This window comes from Homo sapiens, chromosome 21, assembly GCF_000001405.40.
Source record: "Homo sapiens chromosome 21, GRCh38.p14 Primary Assembly".
NCBI classification, from domain to species: domain Eukaryota; kingdom Metazoa; phylum Chordata; class Mammalia; order Primates; family Hominidae; genus Homo; species Homo sapiens.
This window is the reverse complement of record NC_000021.9, coordinates 7,744,951-7,772,791: the sequence shown is the minus strand read 5'-3', so window position 1 is coordinate 7,772,791 and position 27,841 is coordinate 7,744,951. Positions and strand designations below refer to the sequence as shown.

The window sequence follows — 27,841 nt, the reverse complement described above, 5'->3', positions numbered from 1 at the left end:
CTCATGATTCTCGTGCCTCAGCCTCCCAAGTAGCTGGGATTACAGGCACGCACCACTATGCCCAGTTAATTTTTTTGTATTTTCAGTTGAGATGGGGTTTCACTATGTTGGCCAGGCTGGTCTTGAACTCCTGACCTCAAGTGATCCACCCACTTTGGCCTCCCAAAGTGCTGAGATTACAGGTGTCAGCCACCATGTCTGGCTAATTTGTTTGCATTTTAGTAGAGAAGCAGTTTCACCATGTTGGCCAGGCTTGTCTCAAACTCCTGGCCTCAAATGGTCCTCCCATCTCAGCCTCCCTTTCGAAGTCCATTATTTTACATTCTGTACCCATGTGTACACATTATTTAGCTCCCACTTAAAGGTGAGAACATGTGGCATCTGACTTTCTGTTTCTGAATTATTTCACTTAGAATAATGGCCTCCAGTTCTGTCCATGTTGCTGCAAGAGACGTGATTTCATTCTTTTTTATGGCTGAGTAATATTTTTTAATGTAAAAATGTTGACATTTTCCAAAATGAAAACTGTAAAACAAGATACATTTGGAGAAGTCTAGAGTGTTTGCTTTATTCATGTTGTTTATGCGTTAAAATATAAGCATATTGCATACATAAGCATATTTACACCCACATCTAAAAGATAACATATTATATATACTTTTCCATACTTCTGAACAAGCGTCTCATATCCATAACTAAAAATTAGATGAGAAAGGCAAAGAACTCTTGTCTTCGAATTGACTTCATTGCACTATATAGCATTTCACACTGCGGTTCCAGGCCACAGGGTCCCTTGGGTAGGGGGAGACAAAGGGTGTGGCTGACAGGGAGACTCTAGGACTACCATTGCCACTTCCACCAGAGCAGCCACACTTCTGTTCCACATAGTTGGCATCCAAATTTGATTTGAAAAACAGTTTCCACTACTAAAAGAAAAATCCTATGAGAAAATGACCACAAGCCAATTATCCACTCAAACCTGCTGATCCTGGCCTCTGGGAGAGGCTGTTTGGAGACCACATATTTCATATTAACTTTACCATGATGAGATTATCTTACTGTCTGGGGTCATCCAAACTTGAGCTCCAAGAAAACCCCTGTGTGAGGGAAAAAAAAAAAAAATCCTCCTCCATTCAACAGTAGAGCAAAGGACCTGACCAATCATTTTGTCCACGTCTTCATTTGAAGGAATCCTTCATGCCCATTTTATGAAATGTCTTTAGCTCTGATTAAAGAGGCAAGAAAATACAAAGGAAGAGATGGTTAGAGTTTGAAGCAAACTGTCATTTTGCCTGAGTATATAAAATTAAAAGTGCTTTCAAGATGAGGTATTGAATTAGTTCAATAACTGCAAGCTCCGGGTGGGCGCAGTGGCTCACATCTGTAATCCCAGCACTTTGGGAGGCCGAGGCGGGCGGATCACAAGGTCAGGAGATCGAGACCATCCTGACTAACACGGTGAAACCCCATCTCTACTAAAAATACAAATAATTAGCCGGCCATGGTGGAAGGTGCCTGTAGTCCCAGCTACTCGGGAGGCTGAGGCAGGAGAATCACTTGAACCCGGGAGGCGGAAGTTGCAGTGAGCCGAGATCGTGCCACTGCACTCCAGCCTGGGCAACAGAGAGAGACTCCCTCTCAGAAAAAAAAAAAAAAAAAAAAAAAAAAAAAGACCTGCAAGCGCCAGTGGAAGCTAGGTGTGCAGACTGACTTTCTTTTGCAATTTGCCATACCTTCCTTCTGCCACCTGGAAAAAATCACTCTTAGTTGTGCAAATGGGAAGGCAACTGGCACAAATTCTATGCATACACAGACACACAACACGTAAGTCCAGGACTCCCTGGGTGTGTCATGACTATACCCCTGGTGCCTGGCACAATGCCTGGTGTACAGCAGGTGATCAGTACATATTTTTGAAATGGATGAATGAATGTAAACATTTCTCCCCATCTTAAGCCAAATGGGTAGGCTCATTACTATTAAAAGATTGCCAACCTCTGTCTCAGACCTATTGCAGAAGTGATGTCAAAGTAGCATTTTTATGGGTAGCATCTGCAATTCCCATATTTTATGGGTCAGCAGGGAGTTGTTCTGAGTATTTATTCCATGATGCTTGAAATCTGAAGTGTATGTGTGGGACTGGCACCACTGTAAGAAAGCCCTTTATGAGGTCATCATCCCCCACTTGCCATCTCTCCCCAGATGCAGATGTGCAAGCTTTTAAAAACACTTGAGAAGCCACCATGCCTCGCTTTGCAAGCCCTCTTTTAAGAAATGTCATTATCAGAAGTCAATTTGATGGCATCAAGAGGAAGCAATGCCTCCAATATCTGAAAACCCTGAGAACACTGCAATATGATGGATTTAAGACCGTATATTTTGGGGAAACCAATATCCCAGAAAGTCTCGTAACTGGGGAAGATATTAGTGATGGATATTTCATACAAACCCCAACTTGGTGTATTGTGCATGCTGCGGGTAGTCAAGGATGGGTGCCTTGGAAATATCGGGTGTTCCTAAGAGACGAGCTGTGTATCAAACAAGAAGACAGCCTCTTCTCTGAGTTCTGTGATGTGGTGAGGAAGGCCTATGGAAAGTGTGTCATCGTGGTCAAAGAGAGAAGGCAGCAGGAAGAGCAGAGGCCAAAGGAAGACAGAGAGGCTGAGGGCCAGTTCTATATCCCTACAGTCATTAGCTTAGCAAGCATTATGTGTTGCCCAGAGGTGGCCAAGTCCTGTGGCCATGAACTACTCTCTCTGCCTTCCCCTTGTAATTATCTGAACCCTTTAGACTCAGCCTGGTCTTCTCTGAAATGGTTTATCATCAATAACAGAAACGAGTTTTGTTTGCAGTCCATTGACAGTGGCTATTCTTACCAATGTATACTTTTCAGCAATTTAATTAGCAAAGGAATTGAAAGGATAAACGCAAGCAAGTGGAGAACATTAACTAGCAAAGTACGGAGATGGGAAAACTACTATCTTGGGAAATTTTCTTAAGGGTGGTTCCTCCAACAAGCAGTGAGGCTGCTACATGTCTGGTCTTTACCGTCAACTCTGTTGAGATGAATTCCACACCACTGCAGCCAAAGATACTTCAACAGCGACCTCACATGGGGTGCTGCGAGAACTGGGTTGCTCCTAAGGATGTTGGCAAAGCGCTTTGAGTTTACTAGAAGTTTCATTAAAATTTGTTGGTAAGTTAGGGGTCTCGACTCTTATCTTGTGAAGGCTACTTTGAGGGCTTTGTCAAGGGGAGGATTAGGTCTAACCCAGCCCAAAGGTGGATGGCAATAAGCAGGGGTGAGCAGGCTGAAAGTTGAGTGGTCGAAATTTAGGTCTGAGAAAAAAAGAGAACCAGTGTGCAGTCATCCCCCAAAAAGCCCAAATTAAATAGTGTGCCAAGTTTCCACCCACCAAAGTAATCCACAGGGATCCAGCTTGCCATGGGCGAGATATTGTCCAGATGGTCGCCAAGCAAGACTCCCTCCTCCCGATTGTCCTTCCTTCCTTGTCGGCAAAGTGGTGGAGGATGAGTGAGAGGCAGCCGCAGAGGGGAAACTCCATCCGGACCCTCCAAGGGGAGTAGGTGGTCCCAGTTAGGACCTGGAAAGTTATGACAGTGGTGGGTTCAAGTGGGCTATGGTGGGCAAAGGGGTGGCACGCATGGGGGTCTGCAGAGACCACTTATCCAGCCAATCTCCCCGCCAACTCCAGGAATTCCAGCAGGTCATTAGACTGTGCCGTGGAGTTTCATCTCGAGACCCTGTAGCTGAGCCACTTGCAGCTGGGACAACACCTCCCTATTTAGGTTTGGGGCTGCTGCCGATGTCTGTTGTAAGAATCTGTGGTTGTCTTTTTCATTTTTATAGAAAAAGACTACCCCTATTAAACATATCATAAAATTCACTGTTGGTTATGTACATTCAGACAGTCATTTCAGAGGTAATCATTCCGAGGAGTGCAAAAAGAATAATTTATGGCTGGGCACAATGGCTCACACCTGTAATCCCAGCACTTTGGGAGGCCGAGGCAGGAGGACTGCTTGAGGTCACGAGTTCAAGACCAGCCTGGGAAACACAGCAAGACCTCATCTCTACAAAAATATTTAAAAATAGCTGGGCTGAGTGGCATACATCTATAGTCCTAGCTACTTGGGAGGCTGAGGGAGGAGGATCACTTGAGCCAGAAGTTTGAGACTACAGTGAGCTATGGTTGTCCACTACACTCCAGCCTGGGTGACAAAGTGAAACCCTGCCTGTAAAAGAAAAAAAAAATTTTGTACACTTACATGGGATGTTGGTAGCGGTGGTGGGTGGTGGGGCACCCACTCAATTCACTCAATTCTGCATGAATCTAAAAAATGGCTCTAAAAAATAAGGTCTATGAAAAAAAACAATTTATGAACATTTCTGGACTGGGCACAGTGGCTTATGCCTGTACGAGCAATTTGGAAGGCCAAGGTGAAAGGATTGCTTGAGCTCAGAAGTTCGAGGCCAGCAACATGGTGAAACCTCGTCTCTACAAAAAATACCAAAATTCGCTGGGCATGGTGGCGCACACCTATGTTCCCAGCTGCTAGGGAGGCTGAGGTGGGAGAATCACTTGAGCCCTGGGAGGCGGAGGTTGTATTGAGCAGAGATTGTATCACTGCGCTCCAACCTGGGTAACAGAGTCAGACTCTGTCTCAAAAAGAAAAGAAAAGGAGAAAGAAAGAATTTCTACCCAGAATTTCCTGACAGCCACGTGCAGAAAGCATCCCATCGTTTGCTTGCCTTCTTTCCCTCCCGAACCTCCCTGTATTATTCAGAAAGACTTTGTCAGATGAAAGCGAACGTTCAGTGCTTTTCAGCAACTAAGTGTCCACCACTTCTCAGCATTTTGTCATGGTTACAAAGGGAATCCTGGTAACATTTTTCCTGGAGATTAATCACACCTCAAACAGCTGACCACTCAGAACTATAAAGTTTCCACTGTTGCAGGCCTCACTTGACAGTCAACAGTGCTATATTAATTTGTTGTGGCTGTTGAAACAAATTACCACAGGCTTGGTGGCTTAAAACAACAGAAATTAAGCCAGATGTAGTGGCTGTGGTTGCAGCTACTCGGGAGGCTGAGGCAGGAGGACCGCTTGAGCCTAGGAGCTTGAGGCTACAGTGAGCTCTGATCGCACCACTGCATGCCAGCCTGGGTGATAGAGTGAGACCCTGTCTCAAAAAGAAAGAGAGAGAAGGGAGAAAGGAGGGGGGCTAAGGAGGAGAGGGAGGGGAGAGAGAGAGAGAAAGAAAGAAGAAAGAAAGAGAGAAGGAAGGAAGGGAGGGAGGGAAGGGAGGGAGGAAGGAAAGAGGGGAGGGAGGAGAGGGGAGAGGGAGGGGGAGGGGGCAGGGGAGAGGGAGGGGGCGGGGGGAAGGGGGCAGGGGAGGGAAAGGGAAGGGAAAGAGGAAGGGGGACGGGAAGGGAAAGAGGCCAGGCACGGTGGCTCAGTGGCTCATGCCTGTAATCCCAGCACTTTGGGAGCCTGAGGTCGGAGGAGCACTTGAGGTCAGGAGTTGGAGACCAGCCTGGCCAACATGGTGAAACTCCATCTCTACTAAAAATACAAAAATTTGCTGGGCATGGTGGTGGGCGCCTGTAATTCCACCTCTTGGGTGGCTGAGGAAGGAGAATCACTTGAACCTGGGAGGCAGAGGTTGTAGTGAACCGAGATCACACCATCACATTCCTGCCCGGGCAACAGAGCAAGACTCCATCTCCAAAAAAACAAAAAAAAAGAGAGAGAAAGAAAAGAAAAAGGATAGGACAGGACAGGACAGAGAAGACAGCCAAAGGCAAGCTGTTGGCAGGGCAGCACTCTCTCCAGAGGCTCCAGGGAGGACCTGTTTCTTGCCTCTTCCAGCTTCTGGTGGCCACCGGCATTCCTGGGCTTGTGGCCACACCACTTTCTCATCCTGTGTCAAATCTCCCTCTGCCTCCCTCTTACAAGGACACCTGAGATTGCATTCAGGGCCCACCTGAGTAATCTAAAACCATCTTCACATCTCAAAATCCTTAACTTGGTCACATAGGCAGAACTTTTTCCATCTAAAGCGACATTCATAGGTTCCAGGGAATAGGACCTTGATATCTTTGGTGGCCACTATTCAGCCAGCCACAGGTGCTAAAGGAAGTCTTGCTCTGCCAATAGAAACATTGCATTTCTCATTGGCAATTAACCTGGTGAAATAACTCCTATTGTGTAGTATATTTGTGAGGTCTTTTTCCCTCAGGATTTCATGTACGTTTTAGGATTTAAGTTCCTTGAGAGCAAACCATGGTACTCAAACTTCCTTGGTCACTTCAGTGTGCTGTCATTGTGCAGGCCCACGTGTGGGTGGCCTGAGTTTTGGGAGATGAGTGGGTTTTGCCCTACATCCCGTTTATTCCATGCCTCTGCGGTTCTGGAATAATAGGCACCAACAGCTACACGTGCTGGGCACCGTGGCTCACTCCTGTAATCCCAGAACTTTGGGGGGCCGAGGTGGGCGGATCATTTGAGGTAAGGGGTTCGAGACCAGCCCAACCAACATGGTGAAACCCCATCTCTACTAAAATACGAAAATTAGACAGGTGTGATGGCGGGCACTTGTAATCTCAGCTACTCAGGGGGCTGAGGCAGCAGAATCACTGGAATCCTGGAGGTGGAGGTTGCAGTGAGCCGAGATTGTGCCACTGCACTCCAGCCTGGGTGACAGAGCAAGACTCCCTCTCAAAATAAATAAATAAATAAATAAATAAATAAATAAATGTGGAAAACTGAGGCCCAGAGAGATTCAACCCAGAATTCATGCTTAGAGCCATTCTTCATGATGCCACTAACGCATAGCTATTATAATTTAATTCTCTTAATCCTGTCAGTTGTTTTACAGATGAGGAAACTGAGGCACTGGCAAGGCACTGGGGCCAAGAGATTCTGAAGCCCATGCTCCTCACCACCGTGCTTAGCTTAGTTATTGAAGCTGAGCTTTTCCTTTTTCACCCCCATCATTTCTATGTCGCAAGACTCACCTCTGACCTCAGATGAGACACCAGCCGCTAAAATGGCCAACTCCCCTGGACACCAAAAAATTTTATTTCAACATAAAATTAAAGAGGAGACAGAATATCCTTTAAAGACACATTATTTTACAGCGATAAAAAAGGAATGTTTTTAGGTTATCAGCTAAAGATAAACCAACAGGAGCTATTTTTGTTTGAAAACTAAAGCAATTTAATAAAACAGATTTAGAGTTCTATTCCTTTGAGGCCTTGTAAAAATTATTAGAAAAGAGGAAAGAAGGATCAAAAGGAATACCCTTTAATGTGCAATTTGGTTACATAAGATTGTATTCATAATTAAGAAATGTTGCTTTATACTAAACCTGAAAACTTCCCATAGAAAGTAACAGAAAGTTCACCGGGCTTTTGGAATTGGATGGACCTAGTTGGAATCTTGAGTTTCTAGCTTCGTAGCTATATGTTCTGGATAAGTTGCTTTACTTCCTTGAGGCTCAATCAACTCCTTAATAAAATACAGTGGGACTTTAAAATCACATAACCTGGCCAGGAGCAGTGGCTCATGCCTGTAATCCCAACACTTTAGGAGGCCAAGGTGGGCGGATCATTTGAGGTTGGGAGTTCGAGACCAGCCTGGCCAACATGGCAAAAACCCATCTCTACTAAAAATACAAAAATTAGCCTGGCATGGTGGCACATGCCTGTAATCCCAGCTACTCAGGAGGCTGAGGCAGAAGAATCGCTTGAACCTGGGAGGCGGAGGTTGCAGTGAGCCGAGATCATGCCACTGCACTCCAGACTGGGTGACAGGGCAAGACTCCATCTCAAAAAAAAAAAAAAAATCACATAACCTGCGCCAAGCCACTGCATTGTGTCTGGCACCCACTGAGTGAGTGGTCCATGGTAAGGTCGAAGCAAACATGTCCACAATTAGACCTGCCATCACTGATCTCATTTCCTTTTCACTCTTTGAGAAAAATTTTTGTTCCTTTTTATCGCTGGCATCTAATGAGGGTGGACACATCTTAAGATACTTTGATCAGAGGAAACTTTGTTCTCTGGCATTTCCTTTAAGACCATCTGCAATATCTGCAATCGGTTAGGGAATTAATAATAAGAAGAGGTTTCTTCTGGTGGGGGTGGGACAGGATGGCTGGTGAGGACAGCCCACAGTCTCTTTGGGAGCAGCCATATTTAGAGCACTGTATTTAGTTAAGAGCGGGTGACCACACGCAGCAACGCAGGGCTGAGCCACATATCTCTAGACATGTCCACTAGAAGTGAGCTCCTGATGTTGGTGGCACTATTCTCCTTCTGAGTGGTTGGCTGATGGAACATCCCAGCCTCTCTGGCCTTCCCCATCACTAATACCCACAGCCCCTCTCCCTCCCACGGATCAAGGTGGCTTTCAAGGTGGGGGTGCATTAGGAAATGGTGCTGCCCCTACAAGGACCTAAGAGGTAAATTAGCAAATGGGGTTCGTTGGCCATTGGCTCAATCCAATTGGGTTGGATGGAGCCCCTGCCTGGCCAACTGGTGGCTGAGTTGCCCACCGAGGTAGTATACACTCCTTCCATTTGTGATTGTCCTGCCACATGCAAACCATCTTTACATGCTTGACCTCATTCAGTTCAGACAAACACTGTACAGTAGGGAGGGCAGTGATCATTGAGCTCATTTTACAAAGGCCAGGCTAGGGTGGTGACCGACTCACCTAGCCACGTACGTAACAGTAGTAACAGGAGGGTCAGGACCAGAATCCAAGTCTTCATATCAGGAAGCCCTTGCGCCCATCTCTAACTGGCTCCATGTGTCAGCTAAAACAGGTGAACTATGAATAGACCACAGAGATGCCAACAAAATAGAAGCTACCCCACCACCACCACCAAAAATAAGAAGTGTCAAGGTGTCAGTTCAGGGGTGAAATGATGGATCCATGGTCACTGAGAGCCCAAGATCCTATCTTTTTACTCCATTGTCCTAGATTTGGTTCAGGTCTCAAACTCACCTCTTAGTCCAAAGTGGCTGCGGAACAAGCGATTGCATTAGTATTCCAGGCAGCCAAAAAGGAGAAAGGGAGGAAGAGGGGCCCATCCTGTCCCTTTTAAAGATCCTTCCAGGAAGTCCCACACTACACTTCCACTTAAACCTGATTGGCCAGGCTTGGTTGCGAGAGAAGGTGGGAAATGTAGTCCTTTATTTTGAGTGACCATACGGCCAGGTAAAAGTCAGGGTTCTATTACTAGGGAGAAGGGGAGAAGGAACACTGAGGAAGGCAGCTAATGGTCTTGGCCATACTCCCTGCTCCCTTTCCTCTGGTGCTACCAGTCATTCACTCATCAAATACTGGAGCACCTTCTGTGTGCCTGGCTGGGTGCGTCAGGGCCAGGAGTACCAAGGAAAACAAGCCTGGACCCTCAAGGTCCAGGTCTGGTGTGGAGGTGGGGGCCACCTCCCACTCAGTGAGATGTTGGAGGTTTGCGTAGTGAGAGCTGAGTCCAGGGCCTGGCGCTGAAGAGCTGTGGGCAGGGTTGCAGGAAGAGGTGAAACTGAAGTGGAGGACAGAAAGAAGAATGGGGATTTCACCACAGAGAGAAAAGGAGGAAAAGAGGAAGGCCCACCCAGGCAGAAGCGCAAGTGGACCAAGCCTACCGCTGACCCAGCATTAAACAAAAATTATGGGAGGCTATTGTTTTGGACTGAGATCCTGCACTAGGCCCCAACAGACCAGATCAAACCAAACCAAAATGGAGTCAGTCATGCTAAGAGCCATATAATCAACCCAAAACTTTAATAAGGAAGCAGGTAGGTCCCCAAACAGATTAGTTTTTCCTGAAAACAGGAGCTTCTGGTCTACCTGAGTCAGCGTGATTAGGAGGTCCTGAAGTAACCTGATGTTAACCCATCAGCTTCTTTTCTATTGTTCTGTTTCCTTGTCCCCACCTTACAAAGCCCACTGTTCTGCAATTGTCCGGTGGGAGCTCTTGCTCTGTTTTATAGAAGGGAGGCTGCCCCATTCATGAATCAAGAATAAAAGACAATGAGGTCTATGACTAAACGTGTTGCAGTTTTGTCTTTTGACATTGGGCACAGGGTGCGTCTGTGAGTGATGTGTGTGTGTGCGGTGTGTGTGTGTGTGTGTGTGTCCGTGAAAGCCATCTGGGTGGGAAATGCAAGCAGAATGAACAGAAGAATGGAAGTGTAGATAGGAACAGGATGGAAAAAGATACAACAAGCAATGCTGGCCTCTGTCACCATCGTGTCACTGATGCTGACGTCTTGAAGATTTTATGTCCCAGACTTCGAAGTACAAAAACTCGCTTTACTTTACTTGGCTCAGACTCGACCGCACAGCTGTGAAAAGTCCAGTCTCACAGTGAGACCATGAGGGCTGGTTCCTGTCTCTGCCTCCCACCAGCTGGGGGACCTTAGGCAGGGCCTCTCTGCCTCAGTTTCCTTATCTGCGAAAAGGGGATAATGATACCGTTACCCTCTGTGGAGGCAGCTGTGAGCTCTTGGGGAGTAAGGGCTGAAGGATTTGCTGCCTCGCGTGCGCTGTCTCCTGCCCCTCCTCCCACCTTTCCCGATGGCTCCTTCCCAGGTTGGGCTCCTGCTGCCTCTCCCTCTGCCCATCTTCTACAGTGTAGGTCTCAAAAGGAGGGTCAAGAATTGCCTGGGGATGTTCGTATCACAAATTCCTGGTCCTTCTCCTGCAGGTTCTGATGCAGTGGACCTGGAATCCAGCCCAGGAGTCTGCATTTTATTTTTATTTTTATTTTTTAGGTTGGTTTTTTTTTTTTTTTTGACACAGAGTCTCACTCTTTTACCCAGGCTGGAGTGCAGTGGTGCGATGTCTGCTCACTGCAACCTCCACCTCCCGGGTTCAAGCAATTCTCCTGCCTCAGCCTCCCGAGGAGCTGGGATTACAGGCATGCACCACCACGCCCAGCTAATTTTTGGTTTTCTTTTAGTAGAGACAGGGTTTCACCATGTTGGCCAGGCTGGTCTCAAACTCCTGACCTCAGGTGATCCTCCTGTCTCGGCCTCCACTAGGATTACAGGCATGAGCCACTGCACCAGGCCAGAGTGTGCATTTTAAATGGCCTCTCCTGCTTGCTCATGTTTGAGAACTCATCCTCCTTTCTCTTCTCCTTCTAGACTCTCCACCGTCCATCCTCTGGCTTCACTCTGACACAGATGAGATCTGCATGGGGGAGCTCCCTCATGGTGTGATGGTGCGTGTGTTTCCGGCAGTGGGTCAGGAGCTCTCCAACGTCAGGCCTGGGTCCCTGCCATCTCTGCCTGTGGGGCCTGGCACAGAGCAGGGCACTAAGCAAAGCCCCAGGAACATTTGTGTAATCAACTCGGGGTGAGGTGGAGAACTCTAAAGATCCAGGCATCTGGAAGTCTTCGGGAATGAGACATTGACAGCTACGTTTCCCTATAGACAGAATTTGAAGAAAGCTTGGGCAGAGGCAACGCTTTTGAAAGAATCCCAGACTCTTTGTTTGAATTATTTGGTTTCTGAGATTCCTCACGTATGTCTGTGTTATGTATGTGCTTGTTAAACAGACTGTGTGAAACGGCTGAACCTCTTCTTCACGCCTGAGGTCATCACCATGAACATAACATCATCACGTGTGGCATCCCATGTGGGACGCTGTGGCTGCCGCAGTGTCTGGCGCATGAAGAGCACACGGTGAGTTCTCAAGTCTGCTTCTCAAAGACCGTCCCTCTTGCTCAAAGGTATTTCTGCTGCTGACAGCCTTTCTTCCTTTCTGTTTCTAATATGTTGTAAGCTTGAAAACCAAACAAATGTGTTGCGAATGTGTGAATGTGTGTAATAGATCAAGCAGGATGTGCATGAGGGACTCTGGGGCTCTCCGTGGGTGGAGAATGTGGATGTCGGCTTCTGGCCTTCACAACGCATTTCAGGTCCTTTGTGTTTGTTCTCGGTCATGGTCCAGCGGGTTGAGGGATTGCTTTGGTCCAGGTGGGGTCCTGCTAGTGGGCTTTACCAGTCTCTACAACCAGCGGTGCATGCATCCACCCAATAATTTAACATCAAACTACACATCTACCAACTTCATGTACCTAAGGAGTGGAATGATAGCAAGAACTCCGCCTTGAAAACCCCTAACCTCTGAGCCTTCAGAGAGACCGATTTGAATAAGAACGCCATCTCCTGCGCGGCCTGCCTTACTGCAATTAAACTCTTTCTTTATTGAAACAAACAAACAAACAAACAAAAAAACCCAAAACATAAAAAACGAACAAAATCCCTTCAATTAGTGATTAATCATCTCCCCCTAGTGGTAGAAGGGTGCATAGGAAAAGTAACCAAGCAAAAACAAAACTCCCAAATGCTCTTCAGAAAAAACCTACACCCAGCCTGGGCAGTACAGCGTGACCCTTGTCTCTAAACAAAAGATAAATAAATTAGCAGGGCCTAGTCCCAGCTACTCGGGAGGCTGAGGTGGGAAGATCGCTTGAGCCCAGGAGTTCAAGGCTGCAATAAGCTATGATTGTACCATTGCACTCCAACCTGAGGGACACAGCACGTCCTCATCTCTAAAAAAACAAAAGCAAAAACAAAAAACAGAAAAGCCACGGGCACTGTTGGGATGATCAGTGGTTTAGTCCAGTCCTTATGTCACCTTCTACCTAATTTTCCAAGATGGCCAGATCTTCCACAAATTCCAAAGTGTAGCTTTAAATCCCAAAGCCTAGAAAAGCGCTTGTGTTTAGCACATGAGTGTCTACTGGTCAGCAGATCCCCCGCCTTGGACTTATGAGGCACACAGGCGGGTGGGCATGAGGGAGGAAGTGGTGCCAAGGTAGCAGGTCTGATGCCAGGCAAGGCAGGAGCAGGTGATACCCTACACCTGCAGGGTGGGCAGCAGAGAGGCCAGGCCCCTGGGGCAGGAACATGGGCCAGGGTGGGTGGGGTAACCTGCCAGGGTGCAAGGAGGCCCTGACAAAGGGAGGATGGTAGGCCACGGCCCAGGGTCAGTTCTAGGCCCCATCTGAGCATGTCACGAAAGCGTGGGGATGGCAGAAATCCAAGGGCATCCCACCTCTGCTGTGGTCTTCCATTCACGTTCTAACAGGACCCCAGGCCGCAGCAGGATTAGGCAGAATAAAGTCACCAGGGCTCCTGGCAAAGGCTGGAGCGGCCTCCTTCAGAGAGAATGAGGTCTGGGCTTACGTGAAAGTCCACTTTGACTATGGTGAGCACTGCAGCTTGTAGGAGCAGGGTCTGTCTGTCCTCAGAACTTTGTAAATTCTTTCCTGCTTCCTAAATTGTCCTGAAGAGCATCCAGCAAGCACAGTGCAATTTAAGATGGAACTCCCCTGACTCCCCACATGGAAAACGCAATGTTCGACACAAACTGGGCCAGGACGGGGAGACGTTTACTAACACACACTCCTGCAAGTTTCCCATGCAGCCATCAGCAACCAGACCAAACACTCCGCACTGCTTCCAGTGCCAGCTGCTGCCACCTCACTCCCCATCCACTCTGGGGTCTTGCGAGAAGTGGGAGAGCATGAGCTCTTGTCACAGGGATCTGCGTGTGTTAGGTGCTGAGTAAAACATCTTCCCATCCTCCCTGCCCTTGGTTCCAGTGGCTACTAGGGTGCCCTACCCTTCATTTCTCATCAGCAAATCCCAAGGAGCAAACAGGTGAGGAGAGGACAAAACACACCCTAGGGCTCCCAACGATTCCTCCCTGCGAGGACCCTCATGGTTAACACAGGAGTCACCTTTCCTGGACACACACAGCCTCCCTCCACCCTAACAATGAAAACACTCCAAAACACTCTCACAGGGGTGTAGCACCTGTAGGAGGAAAAGACGAGAAAGGAGGGTATGGGAGGGCAGCCTATGAGGGGGCCTGGGGTCGGGGGTAGCTGGCCGAAGCACCCAGTGCTGGGGACCCCACTCCCACAGCAGATGTTTCTGCACCACCTTGTCCTCTATGGAAGCCTCTCACCTGGGACCCCCCAGCTTGAGATGGTGGGGGAGGTGTAAGTTTACAAAACCCCCCGCTTTACAACACGGGGTAGAGGGTGCTGTGTAAGAGAAAGAGAAAGAGATACACAATTTGACTTATTCCAAAGGCCACGACTCCTTTTTTTACAAAGGCATTTTATTTTAGTAAACAAAATACTGGTTATTATTATTTTTTTTAATTTTAATTTTACCTTTTTTTTTTTGGAGACGCAGTCGCTCTGTCACCCAGGCTGGAGGGCAGTGGCACGACCTAGGCTCACTGCAACCTCCACCTCCCGGATTCAAGCAATTCTCCTGCCTCAGCCTCCCGAGTAGCTGGGATTACAGACGCGCGCCACTACACCTGGCTAATTTTTATATTTTTAGTAGAGACAGGATTTTACCATGTTGGCCAGGCTGGTCTCAAACTCCCGATCTCAGGCGATCCACTCGCCTCGGCCTCCCAAAGTGCTGGGATTTCAGGTAAAAGCCAGCATACCCGGCCAGTACTGGTTCTTTTAAAAACATATACAAATTCACACTATTTTAAGTGAAAGGTCTAGGTTGGGAGTTTATCCTCTGACAAATTATTCAATAATTAAGTCTTTCTTCTCTTTCTTCTCAGCTGGAGTCCACTCAAGCTGACATTTACATGGCAGAATCTAGAAGGGAATACCAAAGGGATGAGTAGGAAATGTTTGATAAGAGTATACCCGATGTTTACTGCTCAGCATAAAGACGTATGCTCAGCCATTTAAACTTAACAAGCGGACACCACTCAAGTCTATCACTCAAGTCTATTTATTAACCAATGTATTTTTAGCATCAGTTTCCCTTCCATCTGAAACACCCCACCCCCCTTTTATTTATTTATTTATTTTTTGAAACAGTCTCACTCTGTCACCCAGCCTGGAGTGCAGTGGCACAATCTCAGCTCACTGCAACCTCTGTTTCCCAGGTTCAAGTGATTCTCGTGCCTCGGCCTCCCAAGTAACTGGGATTACTGGCACGTGCCACCACGCCCAGCTAAGTTTTGTATTTTTAGTAGAGATGGGGTTTCGCCATGTTGGCCAGGCTGGCCTTGAACTCCTGACCTCAAGTGATCCACCCGCCTCGGCCTCCCAAAGTGCTGGGATTACAGGCGTGAGCCACCGCGCCCGGCCTGAAAACGCTTTTTGTTTGAAGCAAGTCTCTAGTCTTTAAGAAGCTGCCAGCCTAGAGAGGAAGACCAACTCCCTGAGTTGCTTCTAAGCCATCCAGGCCTGACTTAAATGCAGGTCTCTGCTGATGTTTGTGGGAGGAACAAAGCCTTTATGATCTTCCATCTCATCTTTTCTTCCTTTGATCAGTTTAGCACACAAAATGGGATTGTCAGGAATATAAATTCAATCAGCAACATTTTAATTTAAACTGCCTTCCCTCACCCTTTTTAATTTCTCTCCTCCCCATCGTAATGCCTACTCCTAAATTTCAGTCAATCAAACACCTTAAAAAAAAAAAAAAAAAGAAAGAAAGAAAGAAAGAAAGAAAGTAACTTCTTCTATCTAGCAAAAGCCTACAGTTCACTGGGGACCAGCGAGTGGGCAGCTGCCGGAAGTGGTGAGTAACAGAGTGAAGCATCCCTACGAGCTCACTTGCCTGTATTCAGGAAGGTAGCACAGCTTGGGCTTGGCCATGCTGATCGAATGCATTTGACCTGGGATCAATTTCTGACTCTGTTCTTCACCATGTAGAGAGAGCCATTCTTTCAATCTGAACATGCCTCACAGAGTCATCAGGGCTGAATAACACAGTTGTGCATGAAATGCTTAGCAAAGTCCCCAGCACAGAATAACCACTTAGTAGGTGTTGCTACTATTCCTCATCAGTAGGTCTTTAGCCTCAACAAGCCTGACGGCACTGCAAGGGAATTCAGCATGGAATCTCAGAGTGGGCTGGGTTTGGGAGGCCACCTAGCCCAGTGGTTCCTACAATGACCTGTTGCTGAGAAGACAACCTAAGGATTATCTAATGGGTTTTCAAAAGAACAGAGGCTGGGCACAGTGGCTCACACCTGTAACCTCAGCACTTCAGGAGGCTGAGGCGAAAGTATCGCTTGAGCCCAGGAGTACAAGACCAGCCTGGGCAACACAGCAAGACCCCTTCTCTACTAAAAATTGTTTTAAAAACCTAGCCGGGTGTGGTGGCGTGCTCCTGTAGTCCTACCTACTCGGGAGGCTGAGTTGGGAGGACTGCTTGAGCCCAGGAGGCTGAGGCTGCAGTGAGCCGAGATTGTGCCACTGCACCGCTCTAGCCTAGATGACAGAGTAGGATCCCCTATCTTAAAAACAACAACAAAAACCAACACCCAAACCTAACCAGAGCCATTATGGAATCTCTCTGGGCTGAAGCCTGGGAATCTTCATTTAAACAAACACCTGGGCAATTCTGATCATTAGCTAGGTTTGGGAACCACAGATCTAGAACCCCACCGCCACCATATTTGAATCCTTTTTTTTTTTTAGACAGGGTCTCGCTCTGTCACTCAGGCTGGAGTGCAGTGGTGTGATCATGCCTCACTGCAGCCTTGAACTTCTGGGCCTCAAGCAATCCTCCACCTCAGTCTCCTGAGTAGTTGGGACTACACACCCAGTAAGTGTGCAGCTAAGTTTTTTTTTGGTTTTTTTTTTTGGTTTTTTTTGTTTTTTTTTTTTAATTTTTGTAGAGACAGGGTTTCACTATGTTGCCCAGGCTGGTCTTGAACTCATTGGCTCAAGTGATCCTCCCACCTTTGCCTCCCAAAGCACTGGGATTACAGGCATGAGTCACCACACCTGGCTGAATCCCCTGATTTTTAAAGTACAGAACTCAACCTGCAAAGTGAAGAAACTGCATCAACACACTGGAATCAAGGTAACTGTGAATTGTCATGTGTTAAATCTGTAACAGGGGCTTAACAGGAACTTTCTGGTGCCTTGATGTATTGTAACTCCCCAAGTGTGTTCTAAGCCCACCAGTGTGCACTGTGATAGGCACTGGGTGACAACGATGAGTGTACCCTCAGGCCTGGTGAGGAGGTCCTTGGGAAGAACCTAATAAGCAAGGCCAAAGGCCATGGTGGCTGAGGAATGGCCTGCAGGGGGATGGGGAGTGGGCACATGTGGCAAATGAGGTCTGGGTTAAGACCAGACTGGGAAGGGATTTATTTGTCATACCATGGAGTCAGACTTTATCTTAAAGGTAACAGGGTTTCTTAATCTTGGAATTTCAAATGACCTGTGACTCCCCACATCTGCAAACTTCTCCCCACACACAAATGCAGATGGTTTCAGTATGTGTGCTTCTCTGGGAAGAAGGTCCACAGCTGTCACTGAGTCCTCAATTCTTAACCCAATACCTGTCAAGAACCATTGCCACCGCAGGTTTCAAGAAGGATGAACTAATGCTCCGTGCACCTTGGCTCAGCAGCACTCACATCCCAGGACCAGGATCTGCACACCTGGCCCTTTATGGAGCAGTTCTACCTTAGAGAACAGGTGAGGCCACATGCCCCCACGCAGCCCTTCAGACCCGACGGACAGGGAGGTCTCAGACCTCTCTTGTTCATTGATTGGTCACCCCAACCCACTGGCCAGCTCCCATTTGCAAGGTTGGGTACTGTGGACTCACCTTCAGTTATCTTTTTTCTCTGATTGCTTCTTCCTTTCAGCCTCCAGTTTTTGTTGTTTTGCCTCCAACCTTTTTCTTTGATACATTTTCACCCCAGCAAATGTCAGGCAGAGAATTAATGTTTTTGCTGCCAAGATATACAGCAGCAGGGGCACGTGCTCAAGAACCTTCAAGAAGAAAGAAGCCATGCTAACTAAATGTTCCATCACCGATATGGGAGGTTTCTTTTATGATCCTTCAGTCAACAAATATTTACTTAGCACCTATTCTGCAACAGGCACGAGGATAGGGGGCTGGAGCTACACTGGAGACCAAGCAGAAAAGGTCTCTATCCCCATGGGGCCAACAGTCAAGTTACAGCTCTGCTCTTTGCTGCTTGCTTGCGGCTGGCTTCATGGAGGGGACCACCGGTCATCCACAGGCGTGGGGACTCTGGTCTCTCACAGCTCAACCGTGCAACCTGCTGATCACCCAGGCCCTTGCTTCTGAGGCAGCAGCCAGATCCAGTGAAAGGAGCTGGAGCCCGGAGGCCTGGGTCAGAGCTCTACTTTACCACCGACTGACCGTGTGACCTGGGTCAGGCAATGAGCTCCTTTCTTTCTGAGCTCCTGCCCCTTCATCTACAAAGTAAGGGTGAATCAGACCTTGCTTCTGGAAACTGCAGCTTTAGTACTCTGGGATTTTCTCTTGTTTCTAGAGACTCACTAGCACTGGCACTTGCTGGTAAAATAAAACACGACAGAACTCAAAACATTAAAACATGGCTACTTACTAACTGCTCTTGCAACCCCATTCACTAAAATAAAGTCTAGGGAAACACTATGCATTTGAATTACTCACTCTTTGCACTAGTAGGTTTTTTGTGTGAAATTCTATATATTGCAAATAGTACTTCAAAGCAAATATTAGTTCCATACACATGGTTAGCATGACCTGAATGATATGTATGTGCTTTTTGTGTGATTAAAAATTCCCTCCCAAATAGTGAAAAGGTATGCTCTGGTTGAGCAATCATTATTTTAGAGGACCAGGTAGGATTTTATCCCAATGAAATCCTTATTTCTGTCAATCACTTATTATATGAAATACCAATGAGATTCCACTGTGGGGGATACATGTGCACCTCCCTCTAATAGTCTAACCGAAGTTGATCTGAACCTAGTTAGTGTGTACAATATGCTCACAGAACCGGGGGGCTGGAAATAACTTTCAAGGGGACCTACTCAACCCCCTGGTTATATGAGCAAGGAAAGAAGAGCTCCTGGAGGTTGAGAGGTTGAAGGTCCCACAGCTCCCTCATGAGGAGCCAGTTGGAAGGACATTCTAACCCCGGGGCCAGTCTCCCTTCCACTGATGCCTGATTTTCAACAAACTGAAATTCATGAAATCACAGTGTATGTAGATGAATGTTCCTATGATTGTATCGAAACTCTTTATGACTCAGAACTAGATGTGGATTTCACGCTTAGAAGCTGTAGCATCAGCTGCTGTAGACTGGGAACTCACGGCATGCAAAGTGCCTTATGCGGCTTTCCCTTCTGCCCTTAGCCACCTCCATGAGCAGATGGCTCGCCCTGACTGCGGTGGAGCCGAGAAAATGCAGAGGCGGGGAGGCCAGCAGTCAGCGAGGCAGGGCCTGACCCAGCTCCAAATGCTCCAAAGCCCAACTCTGTAGCATCACGCTGTCCTGTACTATATATGATTCATTCCTCACACCCATCCACTTCACATTTACAATATGCAAATACACTATGGCTTGGCTACTGAATTTTCCAGAGGCAACTAGACTCGCTACCTCTGAAATCATTTAACTGGTTATGTATGGATATTTGCAGAAGGATATAGCATGATATGATAGAAATACAATGAAAATCATGGGAGGAGGCAGGGACGCAAATACTTAAATCGTTTTAATTTTACTAAAACAGTAAGAACACAAGAACACTCAGTAATTAGCTAATAGTTTTCAACCATGATATCGTTTTAACAGTAAAGAATAAGCACAACACATACACTTCAGAAAGATCACTCTGGCATCAGTACAAAAGACTAAAAAGTTCCAAAAGTGAAACTTTTCAACTTTTTACTCTGGTAAATATAAGGAGCTTTAAACACTGACTTCATTTCCAGGTTCTTCTTCCCTCAGACCTAGGCTAATCCCCTCCCTCCAGTAAACCCTGAAATCCTGTTTTCTTGAAGGTTCACATTTTAGAGGTGAAGGTTTGACGCCATGCATACAAACCAGCTATGAAAAGAATGTTGTTGTATAAACTTCTTTTTGTTTGCTAGGATTTTCCAGGCTACCTGAGGCAATGACTCACACTGGGAAAAGCTAATCTCTTCCAGCTTTCTCAGTCTCTCTGAATAAACCTATGGGGCCCTATTATTATTATTATTTTTCTCGAGACAGAGTCTTGCTCTGTCACCCAGGCTGGAGTGCAATGGCACCATCTCAGCTCACTGCAACCTCCACCTCCTGGGTTCAAGCAATTCTCCTGCCTCAGCCTCCCAAGTAGCTGGGATTACAGGCATGCGGCATCATGCCCAGCTAATTTTTTGTATTTTTAGTAGAGACAGGGTTTCACCATGTTGGCCGGCTGGTCTCCAACTCCCGACCTCGTGATCCGCCCACCTCGGCCTCCCAAAGTGCTAGGATTACAGGTGTGAGCCACTGCACCTGGCCGGGGCCCTATTACTAATATAACAAAGCCCATGTTACTGCCCATAGCTGTCTACAATCCAGATAGGAAACTTAGCTTTAGCAATTGCAGGAATGTACTCTCTCATCCAGAAGTTAGAAAACCCATGGAAATGGAAACGCATCAGCCAATGGACCCTAGTGGGAGGCTTCAGTGTTCACTTTGTTTTACAGGCAGTGGAGACGCACGGCAAGAGGCAGAAGTGTGGACTGAGAAGGACGCAGCACAAGGGCAGCAGAGGTCAAGAACATTCACAGGGTAAAGCGAAGAGCTCCAGGGCCCCCTTCCTGCCCCTCTCTTAGGCACTAACCTTCAGTGGTATGAAACCCCTTCCTCCAATTTCCTTTTAACAAACCCCTTACATCTCTTGAAACATACAGACCTTCAGGGAGGAAAATGAATGCTGCCAGGGTGGACTGGATCTATATGAATATTTTTTTGAGACTCCAACTAGGCTGGAGTACAGTGGCATGATCACGGCTTCCCACAGCCCTGACCTCCCAGGCTCAAGCAATCCTCCCACCTCAGCCTCCCGAGTAGACGGGACTACAGACACATGACACCACGCCCAGCTAATTTTTTCTGATTTTTTGTAGAGCTGGGGTCCCACTATGTTGCCCAGGCTGGTGCTGAACTCCTGGGTTCATGTGATCTGCCCACCTCAGCCTCCCAAAGTGCTAGGATTACAGGGGTGAGCCACCATGCCTGGCCTAGATCTACATCAATTTTTAAAAACAAAACCCCAATATCTGTGAAATGGGAATAACTAAGTTTTTAAATAATGAGGCCATACTTGTTGCTAACGCACAGGTAGCACTGTTGACTGTCGCTGCCGGCCATGGCCCACTGAGCCAGAGGGGGAAGGCCACCAGACGCACTGGGGGCTACTGAACCTTCCACCTTCTGCAGCTCTCTGCAATCAGGGCCATGACTGTCTTTCTTTTTTTTTTCTTTTGAGACAGGGTCTCACTCTGTCGCCCAGGCTGGAGTGCAGGGGCATGATCTCGGCTCACTGCAACCTCCACTTCCCAGGCTCAAGCAATTCTCCAGCCTCAGCTTCCCGAGTAGCTGGGACTACACGTACGCATCTCCATGCCCAGCTAATCTTTGTATTTTTTTGTAGAGACGGGGTTTCGCCACATTGTCCAGGCTGGTCTCAAACTCCTGAGCTCAAAGTGATCTGCCTGCCTCGGCCTCCCAAAGTGCTGGGATTACAGGCATGAGCCACCACGCCCGGCCTGCGGCCATTCCTTTCTAACACTACACGAGATGGGGCTGTGTTTAAACACGAAGCTGCTCCCTGGTAGCCACTTCCCTGGTGCAGAAGCTGGGAAGGTTTGGGCAGACTTTGTTCCTGATGGCAGAAAAAACTGTCACAAGCAAGACTGGCCCGAGTGGTCACATGGGTTGGTGTCACTCTACAATTAAAGAGGAAAACTTCCCACGCATTGCCTTCGACCAGTGTGCACCAGCACCGCCTGGAACTTATAAGAAGTGCAAATTCTCAGGCCCCAGCCAGATCTACCCAATCAGAAACTCTGGGAGTGGGGCTCGAAATCCTTGCCTTAACTAGTGCTCAGGAGTGAGAAACACCACCTTGAGGCATGAGGTTTAATGCTTTGAACCCTGGCCCTTAGTACCAGTTACTGCCTCTCTCCTCTACTGACTTAGCCACTGCAGTGGGCGAATGACCTCCCTAAACCTCACCCCACACTGCTTTCCGCTCCTTCCCCTCTCCATCCTCTCACTGCCTCTTCTTTCCTTCCCAACCTTTCCACTGTGAGCTCTGATCCTCAAGGCATGCTAAACAAACTGTTCTATATCTTCCCACCCTTCACAGCTCACTCACTCTGCCATCTTTAACTTACACAAGTTCCTGGGCCCTCAGCCCTCCTGCAGGGCCTGCCGAGCCCCTCACCCCACACAGCTGGGGAAGATGGGAAAGCTACCTTCCTGGCTCCCTGATCCTGCTTCCAGACCTTTCCAGTTTCTCCTTGCAATAGAAAACCACTGGATGTTTTGAAGAAAATGCTTATAATAATTGAAAAAACACGTAAAATAAGATCCTATGCATGAAAACACGCCACACATATATACAGAAAAAGATGAATATACCGAGATTGTTAATAGTAGCCATTTCTAGATGGTGAGACAATGTATGATTTTTGCTTGATATTAGACTTTGCAAAGTGACTATAATATATTTTAGTGGCTGCTCTCTTAAACAACCTCCACCTCACCTTATTGACTTCCGGGACTTAAGATGACATTCTCCTTTCCCTCGGTGGAACCTGATTGCTGACCTACTCTCTGGCTGCCCTTGAACTTCTGCTCCCACCAGCTGAATCTAATGTTTCACAGGGGTCAGGTGTGTTTACTCGCCAAGCAGTTTATTTAAGTTGTACTTGATACTATGTTCCATAACTTATTTAAACATTACGCTTGTGAAATATGACTGTGTAAAGCAAAAGTTTTTATGAAAACTAAGTTGAATACTTTGAAAGACTCAAGTTTGCGTTGGAAAAAAAATGCTGTTGGCAAGTCAACTGTAAAAGATTAGGAAAGAGTATGAAACACTGGAAAGATTTTGTGTATGCACTGCTCATAAGATCTTAATCCACTGTCTTAGTCAATTCAGCTCCTAGAACAAAGGACCACAGACTGGGTGACTTATTAAAGAGGTACTTGTCACAGTTCGAAAGGCTGAAAGCCTGAGGATCAGGGCGCAGTACAGGGGGGTTCTAGCGGAGTCCTCTTCCAGGCTGCTGACGGCTGGCTTCTTGTTGTACCCCCAACATGGCAGAAAGAGGGTAAGAGAGCTCCCTGGAGCCCTTTTAATAAGCTCACTATTCCAAACATTAGGGCTCCAGCCTCATCACCTAATTACCTCTTACAAGCTCCAACTCCAAATATCATCACACTGGGCACTACGGTTGCAACATATGAACTTGGGGAAACACAAACATTCAGTCCACTGCATCTACTTTAAAGGAACCAAAACGGCCTGAGCACAGTGGTTCATTCTTGTAATCCCGACACTTTGGGAGGCTCAGGCAGGAGGACTGCTTGAGCCCAGGAGTTCAAGACCAGCCTGGGCAACATAGTGGAGCCCTATCTCTACAAAAAAAATGTGTAAAAAAAGAAAGCACAATGCAAAATTGCAGGTAAAGCTTTAAAGGTATAGTTTTTGTAAGAAAAGTGAGGAAGATTTGAAGTTAGTGAATGCACACTCGAAGAAAAGGCCTGGCCTTCTTCCAGAAGTCCAGCGAATAAATGTACATTTATGTTTTAACTTAAAATGAAACATAAATATTATGCTTTCACCTACTTTTTCTTTTTAATCAAGCTACTGGTGTAGAACTGTTATTCTGAATTTTCACAATCAGGAGGAAGAAAAAACCCCAAGCCATAAATATTTAAAACGATACTCACCTTCCAATTCATGGTAGACTGTGAATTCACTCCTGATCAACACAAGCCCCCAACAGACAAGTACATGAGAGGCAGCTGGAAGGTCTGATCTGGGCAGGAAGAAAGAAGCAGGTCAATTTGGAGTTCCTAGGGCAGACCACCTTAGAAAGATGTCTCTTTGATGGAGAGAGGGAATGTGAACAGAAAGTGAGCTCCACAGAGAGGTGGGCTGTGTCCTGACAAGGCGATTGAGAGACTGGTGGGAAGTGGATGGGCTGGGCGAGGGCCCAGACGGGCCTGGCCCTTGCTAAGCAGAAAGCTCTCCTCACCAGCTGTCTGTAGCCGCCAGCAGCACAGCGCCGCTTCTGAGGGGACATGGGCTCCCATCCCATTCATCTGTGAACCTAAGGGCCCAAGTCTAAAATCTGTCCCTCCACCTGCCTCCAGACCTAAACGCAAGCTGGTTTGGGAGTGAGTGTCTTTGTCAAGTCCTCTGAGTGTTAATTAAACTCATCTTGGTTTTTCGAAGATTATCTGGGAGCAAGGGAATAAGTGACAGGGCAGAAAAATTGTCAGATGCAATAATTCAGAGGCAGAATTTTCTCTAAAGCTTGAGGGAGACCTAGTAGAAGGTAGGGAAGGAAGTGATATCAGAGAGGATGGTGAATTGTGAATTCCAGAGTTGCAGAATTGTTCTTTAGATTCTGATTTTTTAAATGACAGCACTTTGGTTCAGAGGATATTACCCCAGGTCATATGCCACACCATGGCATATGGAAATGAGAAGGCAGGGCTGGCAGCCCGAGCCTTGGGATTCGCTCCAAGGCCTTGTAGGTCCCTACTCTTAGAATATGACACATAACCCCAAGAAGACTTCAGCTCTGGATGAAGAACCTACACCCTCTGGTAAGTGACTTCCCTCTAGAGCTTCAGTCCCATCTGTAAGTGAAGAAAGGTGTCAAGCAGATGGTGTTTAGTGCCCCTACTTCTTCTGAAATCCAATGCTTTATAGCACAATAATCATAGCTTAACTTTTTTGTGTCAGATGGAAAAAAGTGGCTAAAGTGCTTAGATGAGTTAAGACATTTAGCCCTCACAACTACCCCATAAAACAGCTTACTGCCTCCACTTTAGAGAGGAGGAAATAAAATTTAAGTAACACATCGAGGGTCTCGCAGGTGGGCCTGGGATTCGAACCCATCCAGTCTGGCTCCAGGGCTTTAACCTCGGCACCATCCTGACACAGGCAGAGAGCTTTGCATTCAAAAGTCAGGGAAACACTTCTCTTGAAATGTACTTACCGTCATAATTAAGAAAAGTGGCTGAAAATTTCAAAGGCCTTTAGATAGAATGGGGATAAGATGAACTTCAGGCAAGATGTTTTTATACAAACTTTCAATTACAAAGCTATCTAAGTATAAAAAGTTCATCCTCCATCTATTCAAGATTATAATATCTTGAAAACAAGCTAGCAGTTGGCACAAGGTAGCCAAGTTTTCCCCATGACTTTTTCAAAGTCAGATAAGGTAGCGATAGGAATTTAAATCATAGATCTGTTTAACTATAATGATGGTGGCTGAATGTGCTTGTTACCTTCATGTGTAAATGGCCCACTTGTCTTTAAGAAGCAGCAGATTCTGACTGCCCTAAAGAAATATGCTCCTAACATGTTATAACCTGTTGCTACAATTTTCACTTTGAGTATCTCTAGTAATCTTAGTGATTAGCTAATGTTGTATATTAAAATGTTAAAGATCTTACAAATTTTATTTTTACAATTCCTGCTTTAATTGAGTTGTATACAAATACAGTAGATGAGTCTGGCTGTTCCCTCAAAATTTTCAGAGGCAAAACTGCATACCCAGTGAATTGATGTACGTAGAATATTGATTCCCAAAGTCAAGAACGAGAAATAGGTCCAACGATCCTACAGGAGGAAATGAATGAAAAAACATCCAGTGGTCTGGCCCTCTGGAAAACATGTGCTATGTTCACTAGCAGTGTGACCTTGGACAAGTTACTTGGCCTCTCTCAGCCTCAACTTGCCCATCTGTAAATTCTCTTGCAGATTAGACTGTAAACACTAAGCACCATGGCCAGCACACAGAAAGCACTGAATGTCAGCCATTGTTGTTATGTTAAATCTCTCTCCTTCCATGACTGGACATGCCAACCTGAAGGATACAGGCTAGCGACATCCAGGGCAAAATGCAGTCATTCCAAGATAGCAGGGCAGGGAATAAAGATCAGTAGCCTGAGGACCAGGACAACTGGAGATCTGAGCTCTACTCTTGGTGTTACCCATGGTGTGGCATATGACCTGGGGTAAGTCATTAACCCTCCAAACCAAAGTGCTGTCATTTAAAAAATCAGAATCTAAAGAACAATTCTGCAACTCTGGAATTCACAATTCACCATCCTCTCTGATATCACAGAACCTGACTGCCAAAATATACTGGCAGCTGCCTCAACTTCATACCTGGAGTGATAAAATTCAAGCTCTTTAGGAAAGAAACATATTTAGAGTCAATCTGCAATTGTAGCAGAAGGGCTGTGGTGAGGTGGGAGTCAAGAGGGTGAACCACACTGACATGCTTTGCTCATTCCCACCCACTGCCTCTGAATTACCACTTTTCCCCACCTCCCTTCAATTACATGCCCAAGCCAGCCATTTTCATAGAGTCTTTTGCAAATGAGAAGAAAAAAGCTAAAAGTATCAGTAAGCTATTTGCTCTGCTGCCATATGTACACCTAATGCAATATTAGAAACGAGGGAGCTGGTATCTGAAGGTTGAACTGCAAAAGCCAACAAGGTGGGGATGTTTTTGAGGGGCATAAAATCTAAGAAGTGCGGGAAATTTTTAACTTTCCCTGGACCTATCCATGATCTTAGCTTAAAACACAAAAGTAACAAGTGGCTTAGATACAACTCCAAATATTTCTATTTCCTTCACCGCAAAAATACCCTGTCTTCCTTTGTCAGGTTTCTCTTAGAAACAAAAAAGCTATTCGCTTATTTTGGTTAGACCAACTAAAGCAATATGGATAATGTGTCGTCCACAATCTATTAATACTTTTTCTTCTTGGCACACTAACAAATTCAAGGATCAGTCTATCGCTTGCTGTCTCCTTCCAGCCACGAATCATGCTGCGCCCTTTGTCTGAGCTTTCTGAAGCTGTTCTCATTCCCGGCCTCTACCCTTTTCACCCAACCCTTCACCCAATCATAAGGAGGGGTAGGTCCAGAGAGGGGGCTGCCAGGTGAACCTTGGGCATCACTTGGCCCTCTACACGGAAGCCTGGGCCTACAAGAAACCAGCCCTGCCCGATCTCAGCTGCCCAGACTCCACAACTCAACATTTCAGGGATCCACCGAGAAGCGATGACAGGTGTCCGGGTCTCTCCCTGCTGGAAGCCCAGGCCTCGGAGGGCGACGTCGGTGCCTGTGCTCGCTGTGCAACCCTGGGCGAGTCGCTGAACCTCTCTGGGCCTCAGCTCCTCCTGGGTAACCTGGGGGCTAGTTCAGGGTCCTCTCCCCATACCCTTCCCCCAACACTCAGGGAGCAACACCCGCCCTCCCCACCCCCCGACTTCCCCCAGAGCTGCGGATGAGGACCAGGGGCTGTCATCGCTTCCCCCACCATTCCAGGGGATTGCTTGTCTCCCTAGACTCTCCGGGGACCAACACCGTAGGCTTGAACCAATCCTGGGCCCCGCCCGGGCCACGTGCCAGCCGGAACACGCTGCTCAACGGGTTGACGGCGCCCGACGGCCAGGTCCAGCAGGGGCGCCCCGCAGGTGGGGCCTGGCGGCCTTCACCTTCCGGATCCCCGACCCGGCGCGACCGGGAGCCGGCAGACTTTTGTCTAGGAGGGAAAACCCGAGCGCGGGGCCGGCCGCGACATCGCAGCATCCCAAAGAGCTTTTGGAATTTGGGTCACTCCCTTCTACCCCGACGTCACACACTTACTGCTCCCGGCAGCGGAGGCTCCAGCGCCTGGCCGCGCACAAACCACGACTTCTACCGTCCTGCCGGGGAAAACTACAGGTCCCGAAAT

General features: G+C 47.1%; 2 protein-coding genes across 10 annotated transcripts, besides 1 other annotated feature; one reads left to right on the top strand and one right to left on the bottom strand.

Moving 5' to 3' along the window:
• Window positions 1-27,841: part of a sequence alteration artifact (region identified as an assembly artifact by the Genome Reference Consortium. This region falsely duplicates sequence located at GRCh38 chr21:34374240-34495759) that runs on past both edges of the window.
• On the bottom strand, window positions 547-27,841 carry LOC102723553 (small integral membrane protein 11B). 9 transcript variants are annotated; one of them, XR_007067774.1, is made up of 4 exons: window positions 27,754-27,841; window positions 23,805-23,893; window positions 1,996-3,605; window positions 547-1,225 (listed from the first exon to the last, which is right to left on the bottom strand). XR_007067774.1 is itself a non-coding variant. In NM_001394152.1 (4 exons), the coding sequence occupies exons 2-3, from the start codon at window positions 23,814-23,816 to the stop codon at window positions 17,676-17,678; spliced, it is 177 nt and encodes a 58-aa protein (NP_001381081.1). In that variant the 5' UTR covers window positions 23,817-23,893; window positions 27,754-27,841; the 3' UTR covers window positions 547-1,225; window positions 17,674-17,675. The 9 variants fall into 9 exon arrangements, 7 of the variants coding, with proteins under 7 accessions (NP_001381081.1, NP_001381079.1, NP_001381080.1 ...); XR_007067775.1 differs by lacking the exon at window positions 27,754-27,841 and adding an exon at window positions 27,142-27,505; NM_001394152.1 differs by lacking the exon at window positions 1,996-3,605 and adding an exon at window positions 17,674-17,840.
• On the top strand, window positions 2,244-3,204 carry LOC102723451 (family with sequence similarity 243 member B). Its single transcript, NM_001364711.1, has one exon. The coding sequence runs from the start codon at window positions 2,244-2,246 to the stop codon at window positions 2,997-2,999; it is 756 nt and encodes a 251-aa protein (NP_001351640.1). The 3' UTR covers window positions 3,000-3,204.